Genomic DNA, 26,224 nt, shown 5'->3' with positions numbered 1-26,224 from the left:
CATGGGGATGAGGGTGATGGATCCCGCCCTCCTGAGGGTGCAGCCAGTGGGGACATGACCCAGGCCCTGCCCTCAGCTTCCCGTCAGGTGGGCTTCCCCTCTCTGAGCCCCAGGCACTTTGCCTTGGTGCTGGGGACTTTGAGGGTTGTGGTCCCCCAGCGCCAGCTCCCAACACAGAACATGGAACAGACTCATTCCCGAGGCGCCGCAGCCACTCATGAGGTGGAAGCGAGATTGTGACCCTCGCTGGGAGGCATCTGGCTTTGGCACGGTCCTTTATCCTCATCCTTTATCCACTTGGACGCTCAGTCCCCTCTGCTATGAGATGGGGGAGGGATGTGGACCCCACAGAACTGTTTCCGGACTCAGGAGCACAGGGGCACATAGTGCTGGACACAGGGGACACTCCGTGGCCAGAGCCGGGCAGAGACAGTCTCGAGGGCGGGCTTCCCACCCACCCTAGCCCTCCCAGGCCATGAGTCAGCCGGGACCACCTGTGGAGGCTGGAAGGGGCTGCCAGGGAGACAGGCCGAGCCAGCTGCTCCCACCATGTCGGACCCACTTGGAGACACTGATGATGGCGCATGAGAGGCTCCCACGCGTGGGCTCCTACCAGGATCCCTTCTGCCTGCTGCACAAACAACACAGCCTTCGATCCTCACACGGCCCAGTGACGAGACGCCATGATCATCCCCATTCCACAGAGGAGAAAACTGAGGCCCAAAGAAACACACTCCAAACCAGCATACTCATAGTATCCCCACAGGCCACACACACACTCACACACACATAAAACAGTCATCCCACATGCCACACACACACACTCATAAAATAGTCACCCTACAGGCCACACACACACACATTCATAAAATAGTTGGCCCATATGCCACACACACACCACACACACACTCTCACAGTCACCCCCACACACCACACATACACAAACACACACATAAAACAGTCACCTCACATGCCATGCACACATACTCATAAAACAGTCACCCTACAGGCCACACACACACACATTCATAAAATAGTCGCCCCATATGCCACACACACACTCAGTCACCCCCACACACCACACATACACAAACACACACATAAAATAGTCACCCCACAGGCCACACACACACACATAAAATAGTTACCCCACAGGACACACACACACACTCATAAAATAGTCACCCCATATGCACCCCACACACACACACACACACACACACACACTCTCTCTCTCTCTGTCACTCCACACACCACACACACACCCACACCCACTGTCATAAAATAATCTCCCCACACCACACACCCTCATACAAATGACCCCACATGCCACATATACACACAAATAGTCACCCCACACACCACACACACACACTCATAAGCCACCCACACACCACACACACACGCACACCGTCACCCCACACACCACTCACACACTCATAAGCCACCCACACACCACACACACATGCACACCCATAGTCACCCCACACACCACACACACACATGCTCAGTCACCCCACACATTCATAAAAGTCACCCCACATGCCACACATACACACACACACTCATAAGATAGTCATCCCACACCCCACACACACTCATAGTCACCCCACACGCCACACACACTCATAAAATAGTCACCACACATACTCAAAACAGTCACCTCACACACCACACACAGACACACCAGTCACCTCACCACACTCATAAAATAGTCACCCCACACAACACACAGTCACACTCAGTCACTCTCGCTCTCACACACACTCACACATTCACTCTTACACACATTCTCACGCGCACACACACTCACTCTCACACTCACACACCCCACATTCTTTTCCACCTTTCTCCACAGAGGAGGGACAGAGGCCTGGGCCTGGATGCGGTGATCGAGGGGCTGTGGCCACCCTAGGGGGCTGGGAAACCTGCCCAGCAAGAAGAAGGCAGCGTGGCCAGGGCAGGCAGCCAGAAAGGATCCAAAGCTGGGCTGGGATTTTCCCAGAGCCAAGGGCACTCCTCTGGCCCTGGCAGCCCTGGGACAGGAATACAGGCCAGCTTCTTGTGACACACAGTCTGCTCATTGGTCCCCGGCTCTGGGGCTTGGCCCCTGGGGCTGTTCTGAGTGACCTCACTTCCCCTGGGGAAAAACCATCTTGGTTTCCAGGACTAGTGTGCCTCGGCCTGAGGAACCCCTCTCAGGAAGCGAGAAGGTGGAGAGGCACCAGGAGCTCCAGCTCCCATAGCAGGTGCATCCTGGCTTCTCGGGGCTCCTCTAGGAGCCTGGTGTGTGTCTCCTCACAGCCCAGTAGCCTGGACCTGTCACCTGGGCCTGTTCACATGGACAGACTTGTCCCTCACAGCTGTGCATACCTGGGTCTCTCACCTTGAAACCCTGGACACAGAAACAGGCCAATCTTCTCAATGCTTTGTAAACACACACGGTCCCCTCACAGCCTGAACACGCTCTTGGCCTTGCCCCACAGACTGGGCCTTCATGGCCTCGTGTGCACACAGGCCTGTGCCCTCACAGCCTCATGTGCAGACAGGCCTGTCACCACAGGGCTTGGCCTCTGAGGGCCAGGGCATGAGCCAGGAGGTACATCTGAGTCAGAAATGAAGCCTCATTAACCCAGAATAACTATTTAATGCTTCCACACCCCTGGGAATTAGCCTCAAGGGCTGAACCACCCAAACCAAACAGGGCTGGCCTCCCCAGGGGCCCTCAGGACTGCAGCTTCTGCTCTAGCGAATGCTGGGAGGTGGAGCAGCCATGGGCTGGGAGATCCTGGCCCTCCTCCTGCAGGCTCCAGGCCTCCTCAGATCTCCCAGACCAACATGGCAGAGGCCAGGCCGGGAGGGCTGGGAGGAAGAGCAGAGCTGCTCAGAGAAAGAGGCAAAGATGTTCAGGGTCTAATCCCGCTTGCCTTCTTGGTGGCCTTGGAACCTTGTGCGACTGACTTATCCTCTCTACACTCAGGTTTCCCCATCTGCAAATGTTGATAAGAACAGAACCTATTCAGTGAGAGGAAGTAATTCACAAAATGCAGTGTCCATTGCCGAGCAAACTCCTCCAACATGGGAGCTACAACCGTGTGTGAACAGCTCAAAGTTCTGAGCTGATGCCACAAAAACAACACTGTTACCCAGACGGAAAAGCGTGACCAAGATGACCTGGATATTTGCCTTCTTCCACAAAACAATTTGAGGTCAATTCCATAGCAGCGGTTGTCAATCGACCCTGTTATCATGACTGTCCCCATAAGGAACCCTAGTGTCTCCCTCATCTGTCCTCCCTTTGGAAGAAATACTCAAGAATAAGATTTCATTGAATAGGGTCGAGCTTTGGAGGGCCACAGACTATTGTAATCATTAAGATTTGTTTAAGTGTCAAGGAACCAATTTTGGTCCCATTAGGGGTGATGCTGCCCCTGTTGGGAATGGCCTAGAGATGCAAGTCCAACTTGATCAAAACTAAGCAATGGGGACACAGTATTTAGGAGGTGGCATTTTTTTTTTTTTTTTTTGAGACGGAGTCTCGCACTTTCGCCCAGGCTGGAAGTGGCATTCTTTACATACAGGAGAACGTATTCTGACAGTATGTGCACCGCAGCCACAGGAGACAAATGTATATTGGTGTAGGAGAGAAAATGACAAAAACAAGATAGCATTAGGAGATATACCTAACGTTAAATGACAAGTTAATGGGTGCAGCACACCAACATGGCACATATATACATATGTAACAAACCTGCACGTTGTGCACACGTACCCTAAAACTTAAAGTATAATAATAAAAACAAAAGAGAGTTAAAAAATTCAAGCTGAGGTGGTGGAATTTCTAAAGGTCCTCAATTTTGATGTTCCACTGATTTTTTTTTTTTTTCAGTTAAAGACAGAGAAAAGAGAAAAGAAACAAGGAAGGAAAAGAAAAAGAAAAACCTCAAATAGGTGGTTGTAAATAAAGAGGGGAGAGAGAGTGGCTGTATCAGCAGAAGCAGAGGGGTTATGTCCTGGGAGGGCTGTGGAGTCCCAATCTCAGAGAAAAGCACGGTGTGATCAAGGAGGAGGTAGGACAGCCCCACAGATCTGGATTGAAATCTGCTGGGCAACTGTAGGCAAGTCACTTGATCTCTCTGAGCCTTGGTTCTATTACCTGCTTAACGACAATGAACCAGAAATGACCTAGCCAGCCCTGGCATCTCACATGTACTCAGTAACTGCATCTGTATTAGGTGAACACTTTCTGGAATCTGCCCACAGAACCAGGATCCAAATTCACGTTTCCCAGCTAATTTGGCTAGCTGGCGGTACCTCCAAAACACCTTACGTTTCTTTGCCATTTTAAAAGGAAGGAGAGCATGCCTTCTCAAATATCACCAAAACTGGGTACAAAGAGCCACAGGAATTGAGATCAAGTTGCCAACACTGAAATATCACTGCCACCTGGTGGCAGCATACCTAAATTATTGGGGGGCAATTGTCCAAGGAGAAACACTGTGTCTGAAGCATGCTGTAGACACAGCCAAAGCTTACACCCTGAGAGCAAAGACTACCATTGATCACCTGGCAAGTGGGCCAGCACACACCCAGGCATCTGCCAGTTCCTTGACATCCTGATTTAGGTTTTCTGAAAATTTTTTAAACTGCTTGATTAAATTTAGCAACCATAAATAAACCGGATGCCACCATAATTGAATGCAAACATCCAGGTCTTCATGAGAGCTGCTAGAAACACAGTGATCCCAGTTCTGGACTTGCTCAATCAACTGTCTGAATCCCACATGCAAACCTTAACATTTTTGGGGTGGGGCATGGGGGTCTCACTCTATCACTCAGGTTGGAGTGCAGTGGACCAATCTTGGCTCACTACAACCTCCATCTCCTGGGCTCAAGTGATCCTCCCACCTCAGCCTCCCAAGTAGCTGGGACCACATGGGCGCACCACTACGCCCGGCTAATTTTTTGTATTTTTGGTACAGATGGCATTTTGCCATGCTGCCCAGGCTGGTCTTGAACTCCTGAGTTAGACTACCCGCCTGCTTTGGCCTCCCAAAGTGTTGGGATTACAGGCATGAGCCACCACACCTGGCCAATCCTTGACATTTGAATGTTTCAAGGCCGAGCTTTTAAATCATCTTTCTAGCCAAAGCCTCCTGAAGTCCATTTCTATGCCCATCATGTTGGTTGCCCCTTGCAGCTGTGCAATACTCACAGATTTCACAAATGCTGCCTTCCAGGTGCACGTGTAAGTCACTGTTGAAAATGTGGACCAGGGAAAGGCAGAAAACAGAGCCTTGTGGGATACCGCACCTGACAGCCTTCATTGATACTCATCTTGGCCTCCTTTTAAATAAGGCATTTTTCCCCCAACCTGTCGGGTAGGCAGTGTGTCTCCAAGTACATTCTGCCGTGTCCTGAGCTAAGAGAAAATGCAAGGCTGTCACTTTCTGAGGCCCCACAAGTAAAACACCATGGGGAAGGGAAGAGGTGGTACCCCCGTGACCAACACCGCTCAGTCCTCCCTCTCAACTGCTTTGGCATCTGACCCCCAGACGGTCCCCAGTAGGTGCTGACGAATGTCCCGCCTGTCTTCAGACACACTCGTACCCGGGCACAAAGAGAGACCCAGGCATCAGAGATGTTCTCCCAGTGGATACAGAGCTCTCAGTAGCACCTGCTGATCACACGAGCAGGTGTGCACCACCTTACCTGCTTGGCTGACATCTATGCCTTCCCACTCTACTACATTCAGAAATTTCCAGTACATACAGGTACTGGAAAGGTCGAGCTGAGCCCTGCCTCAGCCCCTTCCTAACGATGGGAGCTTGGACTCCAGTCTGAGCCTCATCTTTCCCGTATGGAAAATGGCAACAACGATAATCATCAACCTTATGCGGTTGTGGTGAGGGTGAAATGGACATGATGAGACTAGCAGAGCTCCTGGCACACAGTAGGAGCTCAAAACACGCCAGTCCTGGCACACAGTAGAAGCTCAGTAAACACTAGTTCTCTTCCCCTTTGCAACCCAACGTGGAGACTCAGCTCAGCTTCTGAGACTTGGCCCCACAGCACAAAGCAAGAGGACCAGTAGCTGACAGAGGAAAGGAGGGGAGTGGCCCTCTCTGGGACCAGGAAAGTAATTATCTGGGGTTGCCTTTCTGCCCCCAACCCTGGCCGTTGGGGGAGCCCCTCTGGAGCCATGAGAGGAATCCTGAGTGTTCCCTGGGTCCTCCCAACACGTGACATGGCACCCAGCTCTGCATGGGGCCAGCTGTTCATCCCCTGTGGCTCCCCAGCTTACTGTAAGGATGACAGCTTATGACACACTGGTCATTCCAGCCATACCCGCTGTGGGGCCAGGGGCCTGTCAAAGCTTGTTCTAAACCAGAAGATCAGAAGACAAGGAGAGACAGGGAGGCAGGGCAGGAATGAGAAGCTGACTGTACGTGCTTCACGCCCTGGTCCTGACGTCAAGGTTTCCATCGCCTGAGCCATGGGGCACAACTCAGGCTCCTCGGGTGGCTGGGGGACCCCTCTTAGAAGATCTGCCCCTGGGTCTCCAAGAAGATGAAGTTCCCTTTATGTGCCAGAAAGCTCTGAACCATCCTATGTAGAGCCAGAATCAGAAAATTAGGCCACAGAATCCGACAACTGAAAATCAGTGAAGACTACAGAAATAGGGCTCAGGATTTTGAATCTCTGTTAAGTTTACACTTGGCACAGCCTTTGGAAGTTACTTTCAACTAAGCATCTTGAGCCCCTGAAGTCCAGCCTCCCCGGCTGGACTCCCCTCAGGGTCGCCCTCACTCTGAGAGCAAGCAGTTCTATGATCCTTTTGAAGCAGGAAAACAGCTATAGGGTTTGAGAACACCAGGGCGAGAATGCTATTTCAGCACTGCAGGGGACAGGAATTGAACAGCAGAGGACGAAGGGCCAGGGGCTCTTAGGTAGGGGAACAAAGTTCCTCAGCTGAGCCATCTGGAAGGCATGAGTTCTCCACTTTCATGCCTCTGGGTGACAGATTGGCTTTAAGCCATCGCACCACTGCCTGAGTCGCTTTAAACAAGCAACCGAGTCAGTACTTACCTTCCATTGCAGAGAATGGAACCACTGGTCTCGCAGGTAGCTATTGGCAGCCTGTAACGACAAGAACAGGACAGCAAGGTCCGGTCATCAGCTTGCGGCATCTCAGGGCATTTCAAGGCCAGCATGTGAGCCCCCAAGCCTGCTCTGTAGACAGCGTCTGCCCTGTGACCCTAACAAGCCTGCTGAAAGATATGCTAAGCTGAGCCTGTTGTGTGCAAAACCAAAACAGAAGGGCTGGTCAGGGAGGATTTCCTAAAAACAAGACATCACTAGCACCGTGTGCTTCCTTTGCTGTATATGAGTGACTTCAGACACTGCTGACTTGAGAGCTTTAACTGCACACACAGCTGGACTTAGGGGCATGGGAGGGAATGGGATGAACTGGTTGGAGGCCTGGGAGTGAGGATGGTGGGGGCTGGCTGGGGGCCTGTGTATGAGGACTGTTCTAGGAACTTGGCTTTTGTTATCCACGTAGTCTCTCCTTGGTCCTCACAGCAGCCCTATGAGGTGGCACCTATCATTATGCCCATTTCACAGAGGGAAAAATCGAGACCCTGAGATCTCACAATGAAGTGCATTCAGACCCAGGGTAGCCTGGCTTCCAAGTCTGGGCATTTAACCATGACCTTCTCCTGCCAATGGCAGAAGATCATGGTAAACGGCACCCAGCAGACCTAGGCTAAACATCACAGCGGGTGAAACAAAACCTTCTCAGCTCCACCCCACACTAGCTGTGAGTCTTTGGACATCTCAGCCTCAATTTTCCCATCTGTAAAATGGGGACAATAACCCTGATTTTCCAGGGATGTTTTAAAGACCAGAAATTATTCTTGTAGAGCATCTAGAACCAGGCTTGGCACATGGCAGGTGGTCAGAAATGCAGCCATCGTTATTATTATTGTTATCATTACCATTGCCATCATCCAGTCCTTTCCAATAAAATGCAGCCCAAGGCAGCCCTCCCATCCCTCATGAGTATCACTGCGGCTCTCACCTCCTTTCTCGGTCTGCTAACAGAACAGTAATGCTATGGTGTTTCATGGACGCCAGACACAGCTCTGAGTCCTGTGTGTGGACTGGCTCATTCAGTCCTTACAAGACAGCCCTGTGAAGTCGGTACTGTCATCTCATGGTACAAATGAGGAAACTGAGACTTTGGAAGTTAAAAACTTTCCTGAGTGTTCACAGACATGTGGTGCGGGGCCAGGAATTGAACCCAGGTAATCTGACCCCTGCTGTAAACCACAACACCGGACCATTCTGAGTTCCCCATTGGCTACCCCTCCACCCCAGGCTGGGCCGAAGTGCAGCGTGCGTTCCCCACCAGAACCCACAACCCTCTCTCCAAAGTGACCCTGCCTCTGACGGTTCAGGGGGTCTGACGAAGGCTAGAGTCTCTCTCCAAGCACGAACATCCACCTTCTGCCTCGAGGCACACAAACGCGCACACACACACTCAAGCATGTAACCGCTTTGTTTCACCCTTGTTCGAGGAGATCCGGATCACGCTACAGGTGACCACCTCCCGCTCCCCAAGTCATCTACGAAACATCAGCTGCTCTCCGAGGTCAGGGTCTGGAGCAATCTCTGGCCTTGCATAAATGATCCATTCCAGTAGCAAGTGTGGTGAGGACTCAGGCTCTGGTGAGTGAGCTCAGGGACTCAGAGTTTTGAACCCTGGACTGCACGAATCCACACCAGCCACCCTGATGCTGGTGGAGCTTGAGTCTACCCAAGTGCAAAGCAGGCAGGAGGCAAGCCCTCCGTGTGACACAGGAACTCCGACAAGGGCTGAGCCTCTTACAGGTGCAGGTTCAAGTCTCGGCTCTGTCGTGTCTAGTGGTGTGACTGCAGCAAGTTGCTTGACGACCCAAGCCTGTGCCCCCTGCCCAGAGTTGCGGAGGCCAAGGAGGAGAAACAGCCCCCTGGAGAGACTGTTGCTGAGCTCCCTCCCATCAGCACTGCCCAAGCTCTACTGGTCTTGTGACAATTCCTATTCATTAGGATGACAAAATACACCCTGCTCGGGGAGAGCTGTGCGAAGATCCCAAACAATGAGCTAATCCATGAAAAGTGCTTCCTCAGCACGGTGCCTGGCACGTGCAAACACTCCACAAACAGGGGCCAGCAGCGTCAGCAGCCACGGCCAGGTCTGTGCTGATAAATGCTTAACATCAGGCTCTCTGGAACAACAAGCCCTGATCCCGGCGTGTGCGGATTTCTGTGTTGTGAACAATCCCATTTTGGCTGATTCCACACCTTCAAGGGGATGCCCCTGGGCCAGAGCTGGGGAGAGACGGGCACGATCAGCTCTGGTGGGCAGGTGCAAGCTGGGATGAGCTGGCTCCAGGGCATGCCTGGTCCACATCCATTCCTGTGCTTCCTCACACACCAAGGGGGCCAGAGAGAGAAGGAGGTGGTAAGGAAAATAAAGCCCCCTAAACATGTTCCATCCTAAATCCCTTGTGATTAAGTTATCCTGCGTGGCAACGGGACTCTGGATGTGACCAAGTTCAAGGTCTTGAGATGGGGATGATCTAGGTAGCCCAATGAAATCACAAGGGTACTCACAAGAGGGAGGCAGGAGGGCAGAGTCAGACTAAAGCAGAGGTCAGAGTGATGTGGCCATGAGCCAAGGAATGCGGACAGCCTTTAGAAGCTGGAAACGAATTCTCCCCGAGAGCCTCCAGAAGGAACATAGTCCTGACACCTTCGTTTTAGCCCCATGGGACCTGTGTTGGACTTCGGACCTCCAGAACCATAAGAGACTAAATCTGTGTTCTTTTAACCACAAAGTTAGGGGCAAGCAGTCACAGCAGCAATAGGAAATAAAAGCAGGAGGTACAACCAGGTTGGTATAACGCGGATGTGAGTTGTTCCACTGGCTCTGAGGGTCCACAGTGGACCCAGGCAGTGCCTGTAAGCTGCCACCGGCTGGACGGAACGGCCAAGCAAAGACAAAAAGAAGGTGGAGGAGGACAACCACATCCCTCCCTCTTCTGTGTCCACTGGCCCCGCCAAAGTGCCCTGTATATATGTGTGACCCTAAGAGGGAAGGGGCCACGCATGCTCTACCTACCACTGTATCCTGTGGCCTGGAGCACCAGGAGACCAACAGGTGTTTTCTGAATGAATGAACAAAGGAATGAATGGACTAGGAGTTCCTTGAGGGCAGGGTCTTATTTCTGATTCCACAGCTAGGTGAGCAGTGCCTGGCTGGGCCAGAGCTGGTTACACTGGAACGAATGAACACAGAAACAAAGGAAGAAAGAGGAAAGTGACCCAGGTGTCACAGGTGGTAGAGAATGACCAGAGGAGACTCCCTTCCCCAGCCTCTGTAGCGAAACCCAACACAGACCGTCCTCCACGATGGCTAGCCCAGCCCTTCCCATCTGGGGTCTCCCTGGCTCATGAGTCTTAGGGGGCCTTCCAGCCCTCCTCAACAGTGTGTGAGCCAGTCCTCTGGCTTGGCCAGGCAGAGGTTCTTGCCCAGGACTCTGGATCTTGGGCAAGTGCTATGGAGATGGGGCAGGGAGAATTCACCTGGGAGGAGCTGGGTCCTGCCCTGCACCTTCCTGCACTGGTGGTGATGGGACTACCACCTGCATGCCCCGACCCCAGCTCCAGGCCATTCTCCAGGCTGCCACCGTTCTTCTAGTACATTCCTTTCCTGCTTGGGATGGCCAGATCCCATTTCGGCTGCCGGCACATGAGAGCCCTGAGGGACCTGCAGGGCCTACTGGCTCTTGGCCCCTTCTTCCTTTTCAAAGTGGACATTCTGATGTGTTTGCCCCGTAGGCATTTTTACAGAAGGAACCAGCATTTCCACAACTGTGGCTTCTCCTGGTCACACCGTTGGTGCTCCTGGCGTCTCCTCTGCCCCGAGCTCACATCCAGATGGTTCTGGCCCTGCCAGACTGGGTCCGGCCCACTGCTGAGTTGTTGGCAGGGATGGCTGACAGATCTCTCCTCCTGGGCCCCAGCTGCCTGGCCTGGCCACGCCCCCTGTGACTTCCTGCTGAGCTGCAGGAGCCTCCAGTCTTAGCTGGGTCCTCGTAGCCTGCCTCTCACAGCAGCACTTGATGTCTAAAGGCCTGGGACGGATTTCTTCAGAGCCACTGACCACAGACACTGCTACACATCAGTCTCTTCTCAGCCCCATCCTTCCAGGCAGAGCCATCTGGGTTTCCAAGCCTTTCCTCCCATAGGAGGGTGTGACCCCCTTCCCCAGCCACACTTGGCTTTCTGGCCACTTCTGTTCCACTCTGGGATCCTCTCAACTCTTGGAGGTCGGTGTGGCAGTCCAGGAAGAAGGCAGGTTTCGGTTCAAGAAGGCAGGTTTAGTTTGCAGATCCCAGCTAAACAGGTATGACACAGGCTGGCGAACTAAGTGCGATGACGCATGTCACTACCAACCACAGACCACGGGTGCTTACTCGGTACCAGGCACCACGAGAAATGCTCACACACACCTCCTCTCCTCCTCAACGCACCCATCTTACAGATGAGGAAGCTGAGGCTCGGAGCAGGCAGTGGGGTGCCTCTGCACACTCCGGCGCCTGCCCCTGCCCTCCCCACACCTCGGCCAGGACCCCATCCCTCCTCCGCTCTCCTGAAGCTTCTGGCGGCCACTTCTTCAAGCCCTCGGCCCACACCCTGAGGCTGGCTGGGTATTTATGTCCCACCCACAGGATTGGGAGAGGAGGCAGGATCCACGTAGGATTAACTGCGACTGCTCCAGTGAGCCTGGTGTTAAAAAAAAAAAAAAAAAAATACAGCTGAATGAATTAATGACATGTAAGGCAAGGCACAGAGATGCCGGGCTGAGGACAGTCTCGATGCGGAACTCTCCTGCGCCTCCTTCCAGGGAGGCAGAGACAGCCAAGATCTCCCACCCACCGCGCCCGGCTCCTTCTGCCCCAGTGCGACGAGAAGGAAAGCTGGCCGTGGTCCCCTCCCCACCCCCGTTTAGGCTGGCTGCACTTTGGAAGAAGGCAGAGGCTTCAGCCATGTTTGTCCACGGTAACAATGAGCATCTTTCCATCAGAAGCCAAAGGGAGTTTAAAGATCACCTGATTCAGGGGGGTTTATGGACCCCTTTGAGAACCTAAAACAAGCTATGGACTCACACCCATGTAATGTCAACATTTATGCACACACACAAAGACACATACACCACACACACACCATACACACACACACCAGTTACACATGCACACACACGACACACAAGGACACATACACCACACACACAGACACATACACACCACACACATACACACACCATACAGTTACACATACACACACACCACACAAAGACACATACACCACACACACAGACACACACACTATACACACACGCACCATACAGTTACACATGCACACATACCACACACAAAAACACATACACCTGCACACAGACACACACACCACACACACACACCACACACACAAATACACATACACCACACACACACCATACAGTTACAAATGTACACACACCACGCACACACACACACACCATACACCACACACACACCATACACACACCATACAGTTACACATGCACACATACCACACACACAAAGACACATACACCACACACACCATACACACACACCAGTTACACATGCACACACACCACACAGCCACATACCACGTAGACACATACACCACACACACAGACACACATACACCATACACACATACACACCATAGTTACACATGCACACACACCACACATACACGTACCACATACACCACACACACATGCACACACATCACACAGACATACATACACACACACCACAGACACATACCATACACACCTCATACACACAAAGACATACCACACAGACACACACCTCACACAGACACACAGATACACATGCACGTACACCATATACACACAGAGACATCACATATAGACACATACACCACACACACACGTCACATATCACACAACACACCACACACATGCACACACCACACACAGAGATACACACTATGCACACCACATATAGACACAGGACACACACACATGCACATACCACACACACATGCACACACAGAGATACATGTGCATACACACCGTATACACATATACATACCACATATAAACACACATATCAGGCACACACATGCACACATACCACACACACCACAGACATAGACACATACACACTCACAGAGACACACATGTGTACGCACACACATGCAGACATACCATACACACACACACACACATAAACCATACAGACATACATACACACACACCACAGTCCCACACGCAGGACTGTGCAGGTAGTTTTGGAATCTACCATGGACCACGGCTTAAGGACCCAGGTCTAACCCAACCTTTCCTCCACTGCCACATTTCCACTGGGGAAACCAATGCATATACCACACACACACCCAGACTTGCTGGGGTCATCATTTGTGTCATTTCCAGGTCTCTTCCCTCCGGGCTCCTGGCAAGCACACAGGCCAATGCAACGAGCTGATGTCATGCTGAAGTGACCCGTGGCCCGCGCGTGGGAGCCCCTGAGAACCCGTGCACCGCTTGGCACACTCCCTTCCCCCACTGGCCCATGGTGGACACACAGCACAAGTTAGAAACAATGCCGTGCCGCTTCCAGCCACCTAGAATGCGTGGTCGCTGGTGACTGTGGCAGCACCTGGCCTGCCCTGCTCTCAGACTGGCTTCCATGCAGCGTGTACTCCCCCACCAGGAACATTCTGCTGTCACCCCCTTCTCTCCGCTGCCCGCTGGACTCCTACTTACACTTCAGGTCCCTCCTGAAATGCCACTTCTCCAGAATGACTGTCTTGATGGTGCCTTCCCCTCCCCATCCCCAACCAAACCAGGCCAGAATGCCTCGCCTAACGCATCACACTGTCCTGGAATCGCCTGTCTAGTTGTCCTTCTTCTGCAGGCTATGGGCTCTGGGAGGTCAGGAACCACGTCTGACTTAGGCACCACTGTGTCCATGAAACCCGGAGAAATGTTTGTTAAGTGAAAGATTGGTTGAAGTGTTGAATGAATGAATGAATTGGATAGATGGAGACATGGATGGATGGAAAAACAGATAAGACAGATGGACAGTCTGATGGATAAATGGATGGGTGGGCGGATAGATGGATGGATGAATGGGGCATTCATATACCCATTCTGCTCAGCGAAGAAAGTCCACACACAACAGACCTTCAAAAGAACTCTTCAGCTCTGATTCCCTCTCTTCCCCAAACTGTATTTGACTAAGACTCTAAAAATGATCATGGCAGTGTTTTCTTGAACACCTACTAAGTACCAGGCACAGTGCTAAGTATTTTACATGTAATATCTACGAGCCTCACAATATGCAAGGAGACAAGTATTAGAGTGCGTTTCACAGATAAATTAAATGAGCCCCAGAGAGGTTCTTCCTGCTGTTTAGGGTTCCACAGCTAGAATGTGGTAAAACCTAGGGTTCCATGGCTAGTTAGAGTCTAAGGATCCAGAGCTAGTGCCCAGGGAAGTTGGGCAGGAACTCAGGTCTGTCTGACCCCACAGTCTTCCCTCCCTGCAATCCAGCCCTGGAACATGAAGCAATGCATCTGAGCTCCTCTGGATTCCCAGGACTTGGGTTGGGACATCCGTGAGCATTATTTCTCCATGGTAGCTGCCCTACTGATGAAGCAGGAGGAGGAAGGATGTGGCACGCAGGAGACCTCACCTTGAAACTAAGGGAAGCGCCAGAACTTGCCTCTAGGAGAGCAGGTGGAGGCTGATGGAGCCAAAAAGGTTGGGACAAGGCCGGACTGTAAACTGCTCGTTCCTTTGGCTTGTCTACTTTTGAAGGAGGACATACGCTGCTAGGCAATGTCTTGAGTCCCAGCACAGGCATCTCTAAGGGGCTTCCAAGCAAAGGGAAAGCTGACCAGGCTGCGTTCCAGCTGGGGGAAGGGTCACGCTTCTGTGCAGAGTCCCCATACTGTCCTGCTGGTGGCTGAGCCAAGAGAACTCAGCCCAGTGGGAACATAAGGCATGGCTGGAACCCCGAGGGTCACTCTGAGGAGAATCCATTCAGACCTGGGAAAGGTCCCCCAGCCCAACCCTGAGGGTCACTCAGAGGAGAATCCATTCAGACATGGGAGAGGTCCCCAGCCAGACCCCAAGTCCCCCGGAAGCCTGCGGGCAGCTGGTTCCAGGCTTCCGACTTCTGGTGTTAAATCTTTGGAATGCTGAAAGGGCCTGGTTCCAGGCAAACGCTGCCCAATTTCCTCTCCCAAACTTGCCAAGTTCTTTCTCATTGTTGCATTGTCTTGAGAGGTGAGAAAAACAGCCCAGGGTGCGCTGTGAGCGACCTTTTCCAAGCTCCCCTTCCCCGGCCCAGTTTCTTAGGGAAAAGGAGCTTCCTTTCTTACTGGAAGCTAGAGAGTGAGACCTTTCTGGTGCTTTCCAGACCGGAAAAGTCCTGCTTGCTACCTTCCAGTAAGAAAGGAACCCACCCCGTCCCTGCCCTGCTGCCAATGTTTGGGGTAAACAGTTGCCCCGCCTCCTGCAGGACTTTCCAGAACATTGGTGAGAAGAGCCGAGTCCCGGAACCCATCCCCGAAAGAAGCAGACACTCTTGGGAGGAGGGTCTCCCTGCTCTTATCTTGCCTGAAGCCTTGTTTGTGGAGCAGCGGCTCTGTCTAATTTTTGCTGATGGGCAGCCACTCAATTTTTAGGCAGAATCCCCCAGAAGATGATCTGCGCCGCGCTGCTCTTTAATGCCTGCTACCCCATCCCAGGGGCCAGTGACAGCACCTTCAGGACGTTTTCATGACACTGTCTATGTACTTACATGCTTGGCCTCCCCACAATGAAATGCTAGCAGAAAGGGCATCAATGGAGGAAATGGGATAAACAGGCCCTTTCTGCAACGAGGGATTCTAATAACATGGCAGTGAGGGAGCTCACGCTGAAAACACAAAGCATCCAAAACACACCAACTGGACCCACGCTGGAAGGCTGGGCGCCTCTGTCTGCCAACTCAACCTGCTGGTAGATTGCTCTGTCTCTGAGCTGGGGATGAGGGGCATGGGCCTGAATGTCCTCTCTGCCTTCCTTGAAGGATCAGGTCAGCTCCCCGAGGTCTGCAAGAGGCATTGATTCAAATTCTAACAAAGTAAGAGTTTTACAAAGAGCTCCTTAGAAGACAGAGAGAGCGGAGGAGGAGGAAGAGAAGAGGGGAGAGACACACAGAGAGGACTGGGGGACAGGCTCAGAGGTGGTGAGAGGCCTGGAGGAAGGACCTGCAAGAGAAGCCCAGAGTGAGCCACAGCAAGGACTAAAGAGAGAGAAAGAGGAGAGGCAGGAGGGGACAGAAGGGGAAGGAGGGGAGAGAGATGGAGAAAAGGCATGAGAGAGAGGAAAACAGACACACATGGATGCAAAGAACCTGAAAGAGACAGAGATGGAGAGAGATCAGGCAGGCTGGGGTAGGGAAGGGGCACTAGCCCTCTTTGGGCCCCGCCATTCCCCTTGTCTGTAGAGAGAATGGCTGTGCTGTAATGCAGCAGGGTGCAGACTGCATTACAGCACAGCCAGACTGCAAGATCGAAGAGCCCCCTGTGATCTGACGTGATTCGCCCCAGGAGGGGCTCAGGTGCCTGCAGTATGAGGTCAAAATGAAAAGGCCTCGAGGTCAGCACTGCTCCACAGAACTTCGTGTGTCAATGGAAATGTTCTTTATGTGCGCTGTCCAACACAGCAGCCTTTGGCCATGTGTGGCCCCTGGCCACTGGAGGTGTAGCTAACGGGACTGAGGAACTGTGTTATTAATTTGATGAGTAAATTAAATCCATCTGTGGGCTGCCATGCGTGGCTGCTGGTGGCTGTGCCGGGCGGCACCATTTAAGGCACTTTCACTCATCTGCTGACTAGGAGCACTAAGGTAATGCCGTTCAGATGGGCACCTGGCTGTTTCTTGGTCCCCTCTCCCACCCTGGAGCAGGGAAGATCTGTCCCCAGGGCCAAAGGGGTTGTTCTCTGTGACACCACGGCTCTGGGATCTAATACAGTATGTTGTATGTGAATCAAGACAAAGTACAGCCTCTCAAAGCAGAGGGTCCTGCCACCCGTCACAAAAGGCACGTGAATACAACCAGGACTGAAGAAAGCCCTGAGTACCACACCAGGGGCCAAGTGCACCCCGCCCCAGCCTCCCTAGAACCACACAGACTCGCTAGCCCTGTTTATAGAATGAGCCAGCTACATACCACCCATGCATCACGGTGGGCAGAGTGTGGGGGTGAGGATGAGAGGGAAGCAAGGGAGAAGCCGATCCAGGTCTACCTCCCCTGACGGAAATGGCAGCCAGGGAGAGAACCACAGCCGCCAGGGGCAGGGGCTGCACCCACCTGGGTTCCCCTTGGGGGAAGGGTTGGGAGGCCGTGTCTGCTGCTCCCTCATTAGCTCGGAGTCCGGCTCTGGATCTGAGGAGTTGCAAGCCGCCTCCTCCTCCTCCTTTTCCTCTGCTTCCTCCTCTCCTGCTCCTGCCTCTGACTGCGCTGTCCACGGGATCAGGGGGCAGTGAGCAAGTGGGATGCTGGAGCAGCTAGAGGCTCCCCGCCCGCTCGGCTCCTCAGCACCACGGCGGCAGCTCTGTCCTGAAGCCCTGCCAGACACGGCGGCCAGGCGAGTCATCACAGCTGGGCCCGCGGCCACAGCCGGGTTAAAGGGACATTCCAGGCACTGCTTCTCTGCTTTTCAGCCTCACTGCCCCTCCATCCCTGTGGCGAGTGATGCTCTGGCCTCCTTTGGAGGCCAGGGCTGCCCCTCCAGCCCCAGAAGGAATGAGGCCCCTTTGCTGGTGGAGCAGGAAAGTGGAGGCTCAGGGCCTCCTCTCCTCCAACTGGAATGTTTCAAGGGGCTCCCTCCTGCCTCTCTGTCATGCACAGATCTAGGCCCCTCTGCCCTGCCACCACACTGATTCCTCTAGTGTCCCTCTACCCCTTCAGAGCTTTCAGTGGCTGCCTATTGCCTTTGGAAGAGGGTCTGAGGCTTCTTCACTTGGCTGGCAAGGCCTGGGTGATCTGGCCATCGCCCAACAGATCTAGACATATCCACAGCCCCAAACTCCATCTCTCCATCTCCTCCAGCTGCAGCAAGTACCCAGGTCCCCCATATTCAGGCTTTGCACACACATCCCCTCTGCCCGGGGAGTGTGCCCCCACCCCACCATTCTGGCACACTTCTACTCATCCCTCTACACCCAGTTCAAATGCCCCCTGTCTGGGGAGCCTGCTTTGGCCCCCCAGGCCAAATAAGTTCCTCCTTCTCTGGGCTCCCAGTCCTCCACGGTTGCCTCTAATTTAGCCATTATTTCCGTAATCATTTGTTTATGGCTCTGTCTCCCCAGGGGCTGAGGGGCTCTTCACGCATGGGGCCTCCCCGAGCACAGGGGAGAGGCTGCCTCAAAGCTCTGTGACTACAGCAAAGTCATTGGGGTAGGACAATCTCTGGCTACCCTACCTCTCCGTTGGCCACTGAACCCTGTGATTGCCCGCCCCATCTCCCCCGCCGAGGGGGGCTGGCACTGACCACCCCCTTCATGGACTCTGTGCTGCAGCCATCGGATGGGCAAGAAGGAGCGAGTGAAGAGGCAGAGGAGCTGGCAGAAGTGTCTGGCAGGAGGGTGACACTGACCTCTATCATAAAGATGAGAGGAGAGAAAGAAAGAAGAGGAAGGCTTTGCTGGCTGTGGTGGGGAGGGGGGGAGGGACAGTGTGGGGGTGTGGGGACAGGGTTAAAAGAAAAGCGTAGAGGGCAGAGTGTGAGAGATTCACTAAGAAGAAAGCAGACTGGGGCAGGCGTGGTTTCCAGAGTCCTCTGAGAGATGACAGTAAGAAACAGGACATTTCTAACAATGCTAAGTTGTTACGCTCCGCTACTGAGCTCAGCATTCCTTGGAGCCCAGACTGGGTGACTCTCAGCCCAATGCTGTTACACAATCCAGTGGCTGCTAGATCTAAAATAGGTTTTTAGAAAGCATCTCTTTGGGCTAAGAGAAGGTTTCCCTGGAAAAACAAGTTAGGAATAAAATGATCCCAAAAGAAAAAGCAAGGCAGGTCTTCTTCCCACTGATAAGAGAGTAAATTTTCTCTAGATGAGGGGTTTCAGACTCGGGGTTCCTTCTGAAAATTGGCTGGCTCCCCTGACATGATGTAACATGTCTTATGTATGTGTGACCGTGGTCGTGGTTTTTGTCAGTCACTTCTCCATTCTTGGTGGACGCACCTCACCGCCTCTGTGTGGTCCTGGTGGGGCTACCAATCCGAGACCTGGGCCTTGCCTGAGGTCAAGGGTGGGCGGGTAATCCGGGGGAGTGAATTCCTGGGGGCTGAATGGGAACACGGCAGAGCCAATCAGGATCTTCCATGAGATTTTGTAAAAGGTACTGGAAAGAAAAAGGGCGCTCACTCTTAAGGATTACAGCCTCTAAGGATGTGGCTTTGGGCTGCAGGTGGGTCATCTTTCCTACCACATGGTGAGATTCTGCCAATGAAGCCAGCACACAGAAGCACAGCCAGGAGATGGAGAGAGAGATGCCCAATATTAATGATGTCATCTGACCCCCGGATCCAGCAATGCCTGAAGTCCCCTCTAAGGCTTCCCAGTTACTTTAATAGTTAATTTAATAGTTAACAGCATTAAACTCTCTTTTTGTCTCACTAGTTGGAATAATGTTTGTGCCATTTCCAACCAAACGTCCTGACCAGTACATACAGAATGCACTTTTTTTCCCAAAAAGATAGCTTATACTTCTATCAGCCTCAAAAGACTTAGATCAACAAGATATCAGAAACTCCCTCACTCAAAGTAATGCAAAAAGTCAGTATCTATTGCTCATCTGCTTTTCACGGCCTTCTTGGGCCTAACAACTCACCTGTGTGCCTCAGTTTCCTCATCTGTAAAATGGGGATCATAAAACTTATTTATCAGGTTTATTAAGGGAAACTAAATGAGCAACCTGAAAAGTTCCTAGACTGCAGCAGGTGTGCAGGAGACGCTCAGGCCATGCACAGTCCTTTTCGTTTTCTCCAGTCAGACCTGGTTTACAGCTTTCTTATACTTGGGGAATAAAATCACCCAAAGTTAAACAACCTTTCCTCTTGATAGCTGCTGGCTCCCTCCAAGGGAAACGAGGGGCACAAGTGCATGAAGATGAGGGAGAAGAAACTGCTTGTTCATGTTTATTTCTCCTACCTGCAGTAAGACAGTTCCCCCAGGAATCGTGAGCTGTAAACAGTACTTCGGGGCATTCTCCCAGGACAGCAGCTGAACGTCTTCAATTGCGCTGTAGGAGACTGAGTTTTCCATGTACCCAGTTGGCTGCAGCAAAAAAAGAAAAAGAAGAGATATGCATTGGTTACAGTAGCAGGCATGACGTCCGCATCTCAGACGGTTTTGGAAACATCGCCCCTCTGGCGACAGGCAAATGGAGCTGGTGCAGGAGCTCAGCACCTCTGGTGACCAAAGCAAGCCTCCCTGTTTCTGGCTGGCCATATCCAGCTGCAAGGGGGTTCACTGTAAAACTCCACCCACACGTTTGGAGGTGCAGAGTTAGGAACAGAGTGGGAGCAGCTGGAGGGCAAGAACTGAGGGACTGCTGCTCTTGGTATCCGCGGGGCCAGCGCAGGGAGTGGCTGGAAGCCCGCCATCCCTCACCAGCAATAAGCCACCACCTTCTCCTGCCCAGAAAGCACCGATTTCTCTTCTCCCTCTCCCCACGGATATGCATCCTCCACTCGGCCTCCAGAGCCACGTTCCAAGATGGAAAACTCCATAGCCCCACCCTCCTCCTCAACATTCTTCAATGGCTCCCAATGGCCCGGCCACAAAATCCACACTCCCATCCACAATCGACAGACCCAGCGGGGTCTGCTCTCCCTATGCGCCCAGTCCCGCCTCTCGGCGGCATCTCTCCCTTTCCACACTCCTCACACTGCCCTGATAACAGTGCCTCAAACTCAGCCGGCTCCTTGTCCCAGAAAGAGCACAGCCCCACCCCTGGCATCTGCGCTTCTACTCTCCAGGTCTCATCTCAACTGCACTTTTCGGGGAACTCCCACCCTCTAGACTCATGACCCAACCTGCTTGCACCCTTCCCTGTGCCCTCCTTTTCCGGTGCTCACCACACCCTATTTATTTGTGGCTTTATTCTGTGTCATTATCTGTTGGATGTCTGCCTCCTGGCCAGGCTGCTAGCTCCATGAAGTCAGGGCCTAGGTCTGTCTTGGTTCCCACTCTTTCCCCAGTGCCTGGCTCATGGCAAGTGCTCAATAGCATGTGTTGAAAAGAATGAGAAACGCTATTAGTATTGGTCATTGTTGGGAGTAGGGGCGGGGCAAGATAAATCCACAGCCACCCACCACTCTCTGAGTGAGTCTTGCTGTCCCGAGAAGGCACCAGGTGACCGAGGGATACAATGGCCACCAGGAGCCAAAGCGGGTGTCCTTGTCACTTTGGCTCCAGGAAGCCAGACTTCAGGAGAATCAGGTGAGTGCAGCACAGCTGAGAAGAATAACAGCGAACACCTCCCTGGCTCTCCCATGCACCCTGGGCACATGGCAATCATTTAATCCTCACACAGGTCTTGTGGAACAGGTATCAAGGTCATCCCATCATATAGACAAGGAAGCTGAGGCTCAGGAGGTCACGTGATTTGCCCAAGGTCATCTAGCTAGGAGTGGCATGGCCAAGACTGAACTCGGCCATCTGACTCCGGAATCAGAAGCCTGACCTCTATCCTGTGTTCCAAGAAAGAGGCAAAGGCAATTCAAAGTCTAAGGCCCAACAGGTTAATTCTACCATAAAGATGGAGGACTTCTGTTAGGTTTGTTAATTTCAGTATCTGTCTGCCAAACGAGAGTTATGGTGATGGGGGTGGAGGTAGAGAGGGTTGATGGCTGAAGCTGCCTCAATTTCCCTGATGTGATCAATTGCTAGGCTCAAAAAGTACAAAAGATTGATCAATTCATTTTTCATTCATTCCTTCATTCATCTGACAGACATTTACTGAACTTCCGTTATGCTGCAGGCGCCATGCTAGGTGCTGGAGATTCAGCAGTGAATAAGACAGGAGCTTAGTGGGCAAACAGACAACAAACAAAATATCTAAATAAATAAACTATTGGAGAGTGGCAAGGGCCGCATAAAGAATCACAATGGGGTGTCATGACAGGTGGCCGAGAGCAGGAGTAAAGAGTGTCACAGACCCCACGGCCAGTGCAAAGGCTCAGAGGTGGGAACAGCTGGGAGTGTTCAAGGAGGAGCAGAAGGTGAAACGGAGGGAGGGCTGGGTAAGCGATGCGTTGGAGAGAAGGGTGGGTCACTCCTGGAGAGGCTGGTAGGTCCACCTAGGGGCTCAGGGATTCCTCCCAGGGGTTTGCAGGAGCTTTAGCCAAGGTTCACAGGGATTGCTGCATAGAAAACAGACTTGAAAGGAGACAGTGGTGGCAGGGGGACAGCCTGCAGGCTGCTGCACAGGTCCAGGTGAGCGACAAGGCTGCCTGGACCCCACAATCTAGGGGAGGAGGCAGCTGCGTTCATCCTGTCCTTTCCACCACTGCATCGCTCACCCCTCAGAGGACCCCCTGGCCCCCAATCCCGGCGGCTGCCATGTGTCACCCAAGAAGGTTCTCTTTATGCAGCGTGCCTCAAAGTCACACTCGTGGGCCTGCCCTTCACTGTTCTGGCCTGTTCCAGCATCCCGTGCACTGTTCTGTTCTCCCTATTCTGCAGTAAATGACTCAGCCCTAACAGTATGTCTTGTCCTGAGCACTGCCGGAGAAGCCAGGGCTTGGTGGTTGGTTCTGTACTTCTTTTCCTCACCCATATTCAAATATTTATTGTGTTGGTCACTGATTGTCTGTGTCCCCTGCTACTGTTTATATACTGTGGGAACAGGAGGGTTCACCTGCTGTTTCATATGCCTAAATGGCGTCTGACATTTAGGAGGTGATTACTAATTTCCTGACAAATTAATGACTATCTTACAAAAATAAAGGCAACTTTCATCCGTGTTTTAACTGTAAGCACCACCCACAACACACTGGACAGAGGCTTTCTGAGTCTACCTTTCACATGCCCTGCCTTAGCTGTCTTAACGTGGCTTTGATCTGAAGTTGCAACCAAGGCTTTTTAGGGAAAGGTTGGGTATAAATAAATACATACTGTTTTTTTGTTTTGTTTTGTTTGAGACGGAGTCTTGCTCTGTCGCCCAGGCTGGACTGCAGTGGCGCGATCTCGGCTCACTGCAACTTCTGCCTCCCGTGTTCAAGCAATTCTCTGCCTCAGCCTCCCGAGAAGCTGAGATTACAGGCGCCTGCCACCATGCCTGGCTAATTTTTTTTGTATTTTTAGTAGAGATGGGGTTTCACCATCTTGGCCAGGCTGGTCTTGAACTCCTGACCTTGTGATCCACCTGCTTCGGTCTCCCAAAGTGCTGGGATTACAGGCATAAGCCACCGCAGCCGGTCCTTTTTTTTTTTTTTTTTTTTGAGACAGAGTTTTGCTCTTGTCACCCCGACTGGAGTACAATGGTGCATTCTCAGCTCACTGCAACTTCCGCCACTCGGGTTCAAGCGATTCTCCTGCCTCAGCCTCCTGAGTAGCTGGGATTACAGGCGTGCGCCACCACGCCCAGCTAATTTTTCAGTATTTTTAGTAGAGATGGGGTTTCACCATGTTGGCCAGGCTGGTCTCGAACTCCTGACCTCAGGTGATCCTCCTGCCTCGGCCTCCCAAAGTGCTGGGATTACAGGCGTGAGCCACCACACCCAACCCATACTGTTTTTAAAAAGCAGACAAGCTGCATGCCTACTGCCTGAAGCAGCATTTGGCCAAAAGCAGACTTTTTAGGACCAAGGAGACTTGTGTTTGGGCCGCTTACTGTGTGTCCTTAGGCAAGTTACTCCCCCTCTCTGAGTTCATTTCCTCTACTGGTTAAGATGAGAATTTATTTAATAGGTAGAATTCCTGGGAGCATTACCAGAGATCCAGTTTATCAAGGACTCAGCACAGTACCTGGAACAAACTAAAGAACGCAATCAAACGAACTATTTTGAGAAAGACCAATCTTTGCCTCTGGGGTCTTCCTCCCCAAACCCATAACCCAAGTCTAACCATCAGAAAAATATCAGACAAACCATAACTGAGGGACTTTCCTCAAAACTCCTGACCAGTGCTCATTAAACATGAGGAAAGCCTGAGCAGCTATCCCAGCCAAGGGAAGTTTTGGGAGACGTGACTACAGGTACTGTGGGGATCCTGGATGGGATCCCGGGACAGAAAAAGGACATCACGGAAAACCTAAAGAAACCTAATAAAATGTGGACTTCGGCAATCATGTATCAATATTGGTTCACAAGTTGTGACAAACGCAGCCCACAGACTAAGATACTAGCAGCTGGGGAAGCAGACTGCGGATGTGTGAGAACTCTGGGGTATCCTCGTCGCTTTCCTATACATCTCAAACTGTCCTAAAAGAAAATGTTTATTTAAAAACAAAAACAAGGCCGGGCGCGGTGGCTCACGCCTGTAATCCCAGCACTTTGGGAGGCCAAGGTGGGCGGATCATGACGTCACCTTGATCGAGACCATCCTGGCTAACATGGTGAAACCCCGTCTCTACTAAAAATACTAAAAAAACGAGCCAGGCGTGGTGGCGGGTGCCTGTAGTCCCAGCTACTCGAGAGGCTGAGGAAGGAGAATGGCGTGAACCCGGGAGGTGAAGCTTGCAGTGAGCCGAGATCGCGCCACTGCACTGTAGCCTGGGCAACAGAGCAAGACTCCTTCTCAAAAACAAAACAAAACCAAACAAAAAAAACTGCTGCTGCTGTAGTGCTATCACTGGGCAGGAACACGGGAGGCTTGCAGGGGACATGGGCTGGATTGGGATGGAAAGCCTCTGAACGCTGCTGTTCCTTGGGCTCAGATATGAGCTAACACTGCCCAGGCACCTCTGCCGTTCTGGGTACTTTCCTATCGCTGGGATTATTTTACAGATAACTGATAATTCCCTGGTAAGCTGAACATGACGACCGGAGCTCCAGGGGAGGAGATTCCTGTCTGGGGTAGGAGGCTGAATTGGATAAGAAAGAACATTAAAATTCTCCTCCATTGAGGGATGGTAGGGAATCCTGCTCTAAGATGTACAGCTAAGAGAACAATAAGCAGACGAAAAATTTTTTTCCTAAACGTTAAGAGCAGTGTAAGGCATACTGTATGATTCCATTTATATGACATCCTGAAATAAACAAAACTACAGGGGCTGAAATCACACCCATGGTTGCCAGCCGCTGGGGCGGGCGAGGGGCAGGGGGACTCTTGGGGGTGATGGGAATATTCTCTGTATTGACTGTGGGGGCGATGTCACTTGGCTGTATACATTTGTCAGAACTCACAGATCTGCACGCTAAAAGCGTGACTCTTACTGTATGTAAATTACAACGCAAACCTGACTGAAAAAGGCAATGCGTGAAGACAAGGTAATTTGGAAGATGACGAATAAAATCTTTCCCATAAAAATCCAATCAAGACCACTCATTAGCACTCTGGTGTGTGACTTTCCTGATTATTTTAATATATAATTTTTTATAAAGCCGAAATCATACAGTACAAAGAATTTTGTAACGCCTTTTTTTTCCCCACATTATCGCACATAGATGTCCCTGCTCTGAATGGCAAGCTCCAGAACTCTCACTGTAGCAGCTATAAAATATTCCGCCACCATCAATTTCATCCCTGCTCTCACCCCCTCCCTCAGGGACAGTGCCACTGTTTCATTTTATGCTGCCATGCACAACTCCGCAGTGAACATCCTTGTGAAACATGTTTTTCTACCCTATATTTAGGATTATTTCCTTAGGCCAGATTCCCAGAAATGGAATTACTGGGACAAAGGGCAAGAGCACGTTTTACGTTGTTGCCAAATTGCTCTCATTAAATGGATATTAAAGGGAACCGGAGAGCCCTGGCCAAGGCTAAGGGGCTTTTGTCCTGGGCCACCAGCTTGACAGGGCCATGTGAGAAGCAAGGAGCGAACCCAGGTAGGTTTGGTGGGACCGCTCGCTAACTGAGTGCCCGCAAGGTGACGGTGCCCAG

The 26,224-nt window shown here is 51.9% G+C and overlaps 1 protein-coding gene and 1 non-coding gene across 7 annotated transcripts in view, besides 11 other annotated features; both read right to left on the bottom strand.

Annotated features, from left to right (window-relative positions):
* Window positions 1-26,224, bottom strand: part of CMIP (c-Maf inducing protein) — a 266,955-nt gene that overhangs the window by 83,747 nt on the left and 156,984 nt on the right. For 5 of the 6 annotated variants that reach the window (XM_047434717.1, NM_198390.3, XM_011523352.2 and 2 more), the window contains 2 exons: window positions 20,324-20,449; window positions 7,090-7,140 (listed from right to left, as the gene is read on the bottom strand). In XM_047434717.1, the coding sequence (XP_047290673.1) occupies window positions 7,090-7,140; window positions 20,324-20,449 (177 nt within the window). Of the gene's footprint in view, window positions 1-7,089; window positions 7,141-17,475; window positions 17,716-20,323; window positions 20,450-26,224 lie in introns of those variants that run through there. The other variant, XM_005256181.3, reaches the window with a different exon arrangement.
* Window positions 12-633: an enhancer, noted in NCBI's record as "H3K27ac-H3K4me1 hESC enhancer chr16:81660988-81661609 (GRCh37/hg19 assembly coordinates)". NCBI's record gives its function as "activates a minimal SCP1, AML or CMV promoter by ChIP-STARR-seq in naive H9 embryonic stem cells {active_cell/tissue: H9 hESC(naive)}" and the evidence as "EXISTENCE:reporter gene assay evidence [ECO:0000049][PMID:30033119]".
* Window positions 1,815-2,004: an enhancer, noted in NCBI's record as "active region_11195". NCBI's record gives its function as "activates an Ori minimal core promoter by ATAC-STARR-seq in GM12878 lymphoblastoid cells {active_cell/tissue: GM12878}" and the evidence as "EXISTENCE:reporter gene assay evidence [ECO:0000049][PMID:35858748]".
* Window positions 4,349-4,398: a silencer, noted in NCBI's record as "silent region_7760". NCBI's record gives its function as "represses an Ori minimal core promoter by ATAC-STARR-seq in GM12878 lymphoblastoid cells {active_cell/tissue: GM12878}" and the evidence as "EXISTENCE:reporter gene assay evidence [ECO:0000049][PMID:35858748]".
* Window positions 4,519-4,588: an enhancer, noted in NCBI's record as "active region_11194". NCBI's record gives its function as "activates an Ori minimal core promoter by ATAC-STARR-seq in GM12878 lymphoblastoid cells {active_cell/tissue: GM12878}" and the evidence as "EXISTENCE:reporter gene assay evidence [ECO:0000049][PMID:35858748]".
* Window positions 8,913-9,513: an enhancer, noted in NCBI's record as "H3K4me1 hESC enhancer chr16:81652108-81652708 (GRCh37/hg19 assembly coordinates)". NCBI's record gives its function as "activates a minimal SCP1, AML or CMV promoter by ChIP-STARR-seq in naive H9 embryonic stem cells {active_cell/tissue: H9 hESC(naive)}" and the evidence as "EXISTENCE:reporter gene assay evidence [ECO:0000049][PMID:30033119]".
* Window positions 10,440-11,282: an enhancer, noted in NCBI's record as "H3K4me1 hESC enhancer chr16:81650339-81651181 (GRCh37/hg19 assembly coordinates)". NCBI's record gives its function as "activates a minimal SCP1, AML or CMV promoter by ChIP-STARR-seq in primed H9 embryonic stem cells {active_cell/tissue: H9 hESC(primed)}" and the evidence as "EXISTENCE:reporter gene assay evidence [ECO:0000049][PMID:30033119]".
* Window positions 10,946-11,015: an enhancer, noted in NCBI's record as "active region_11193". NCBI's record gives its function as "activates an Ori minimal core promoter by ATAC-STARR-seq in GM12878 lymphoblastoid cells {active_cell/tissue: GM12878}" and the evidence as "EXISTENCE:reporter gene assay evidence [ECO:0000049][PMID:35858748]".
* Window positions 11,236-11,385: an enhancer, noted in NCBI's record as "active region_11192". NCBI's record gives its function as "activates an Ori minimal core promoter by ATAC-STARR-seq in GM12878 lymphoblastoid cells {active_cell/tissue: GM12878}" and the evidence as "EXISTENCE:reporter gene assay evidence [ECO:0000049][PMID:35858748]".
* Window positions 11,236-12,126: a biological region, named in NCBI's record as "H3K4me1 hESC enhancer GRCh37_chr16:81649495-81650338".
* Window positions 11,283-12,126: an enhancer, noted in NCBI's record as "H3K4me1 hESC enhancer chr16:81649495-81650338 (GRCh37/hg19 assembly coordinates)". NCBI's record gives its function as "activates a minimal SCP1, AML or CMV promoter by ChIP-STARR-seq in primed H9 embryonic stem cells {active_cell/tissue: H9 hESC(primed)}" and the evidence as "EXISTENCE:reporter gene assay evidence [ECO:0000049][PMID:30033119]".
* Window positions 16,608-16,668, bottom strand: MIR6504 (microRNA 6504). Its single transcript, NR_106759.1, has one exon. It is a non-coding gene; the product is annotated as a microRNA 6504 (primary transcript).
* Window positions 19,225-19,454: an enhancer, noted in NCBI's record as "active region_11191". NCBI's record gives its function as "activates an Ori minimal core promoter by ATAC-STARR-seq in GM12878 lymphoblastoid cells {active_cell/tissue: GM12878}" and the evidence as "EXISTENCE:reporter gene assay evidence [ECO:0000049][PMID:35858748]".

Source organism: Homo sapiens, chromosome 16 (assembly GCF_000001405.40).
Source record: "Homo sapiens chromosome 16, GRCh38.p14 Primary Assembly".
NCBI classification, from domain to species: domain Eukaryota; kingdom Metazoa; phylum Chordata; class Mammalia; order Primates; family Hominidae; genus Homo; species Homo sapiens.
This window is presented reverse-complemented; position numbering and strand designations above follow the sequence as displayed.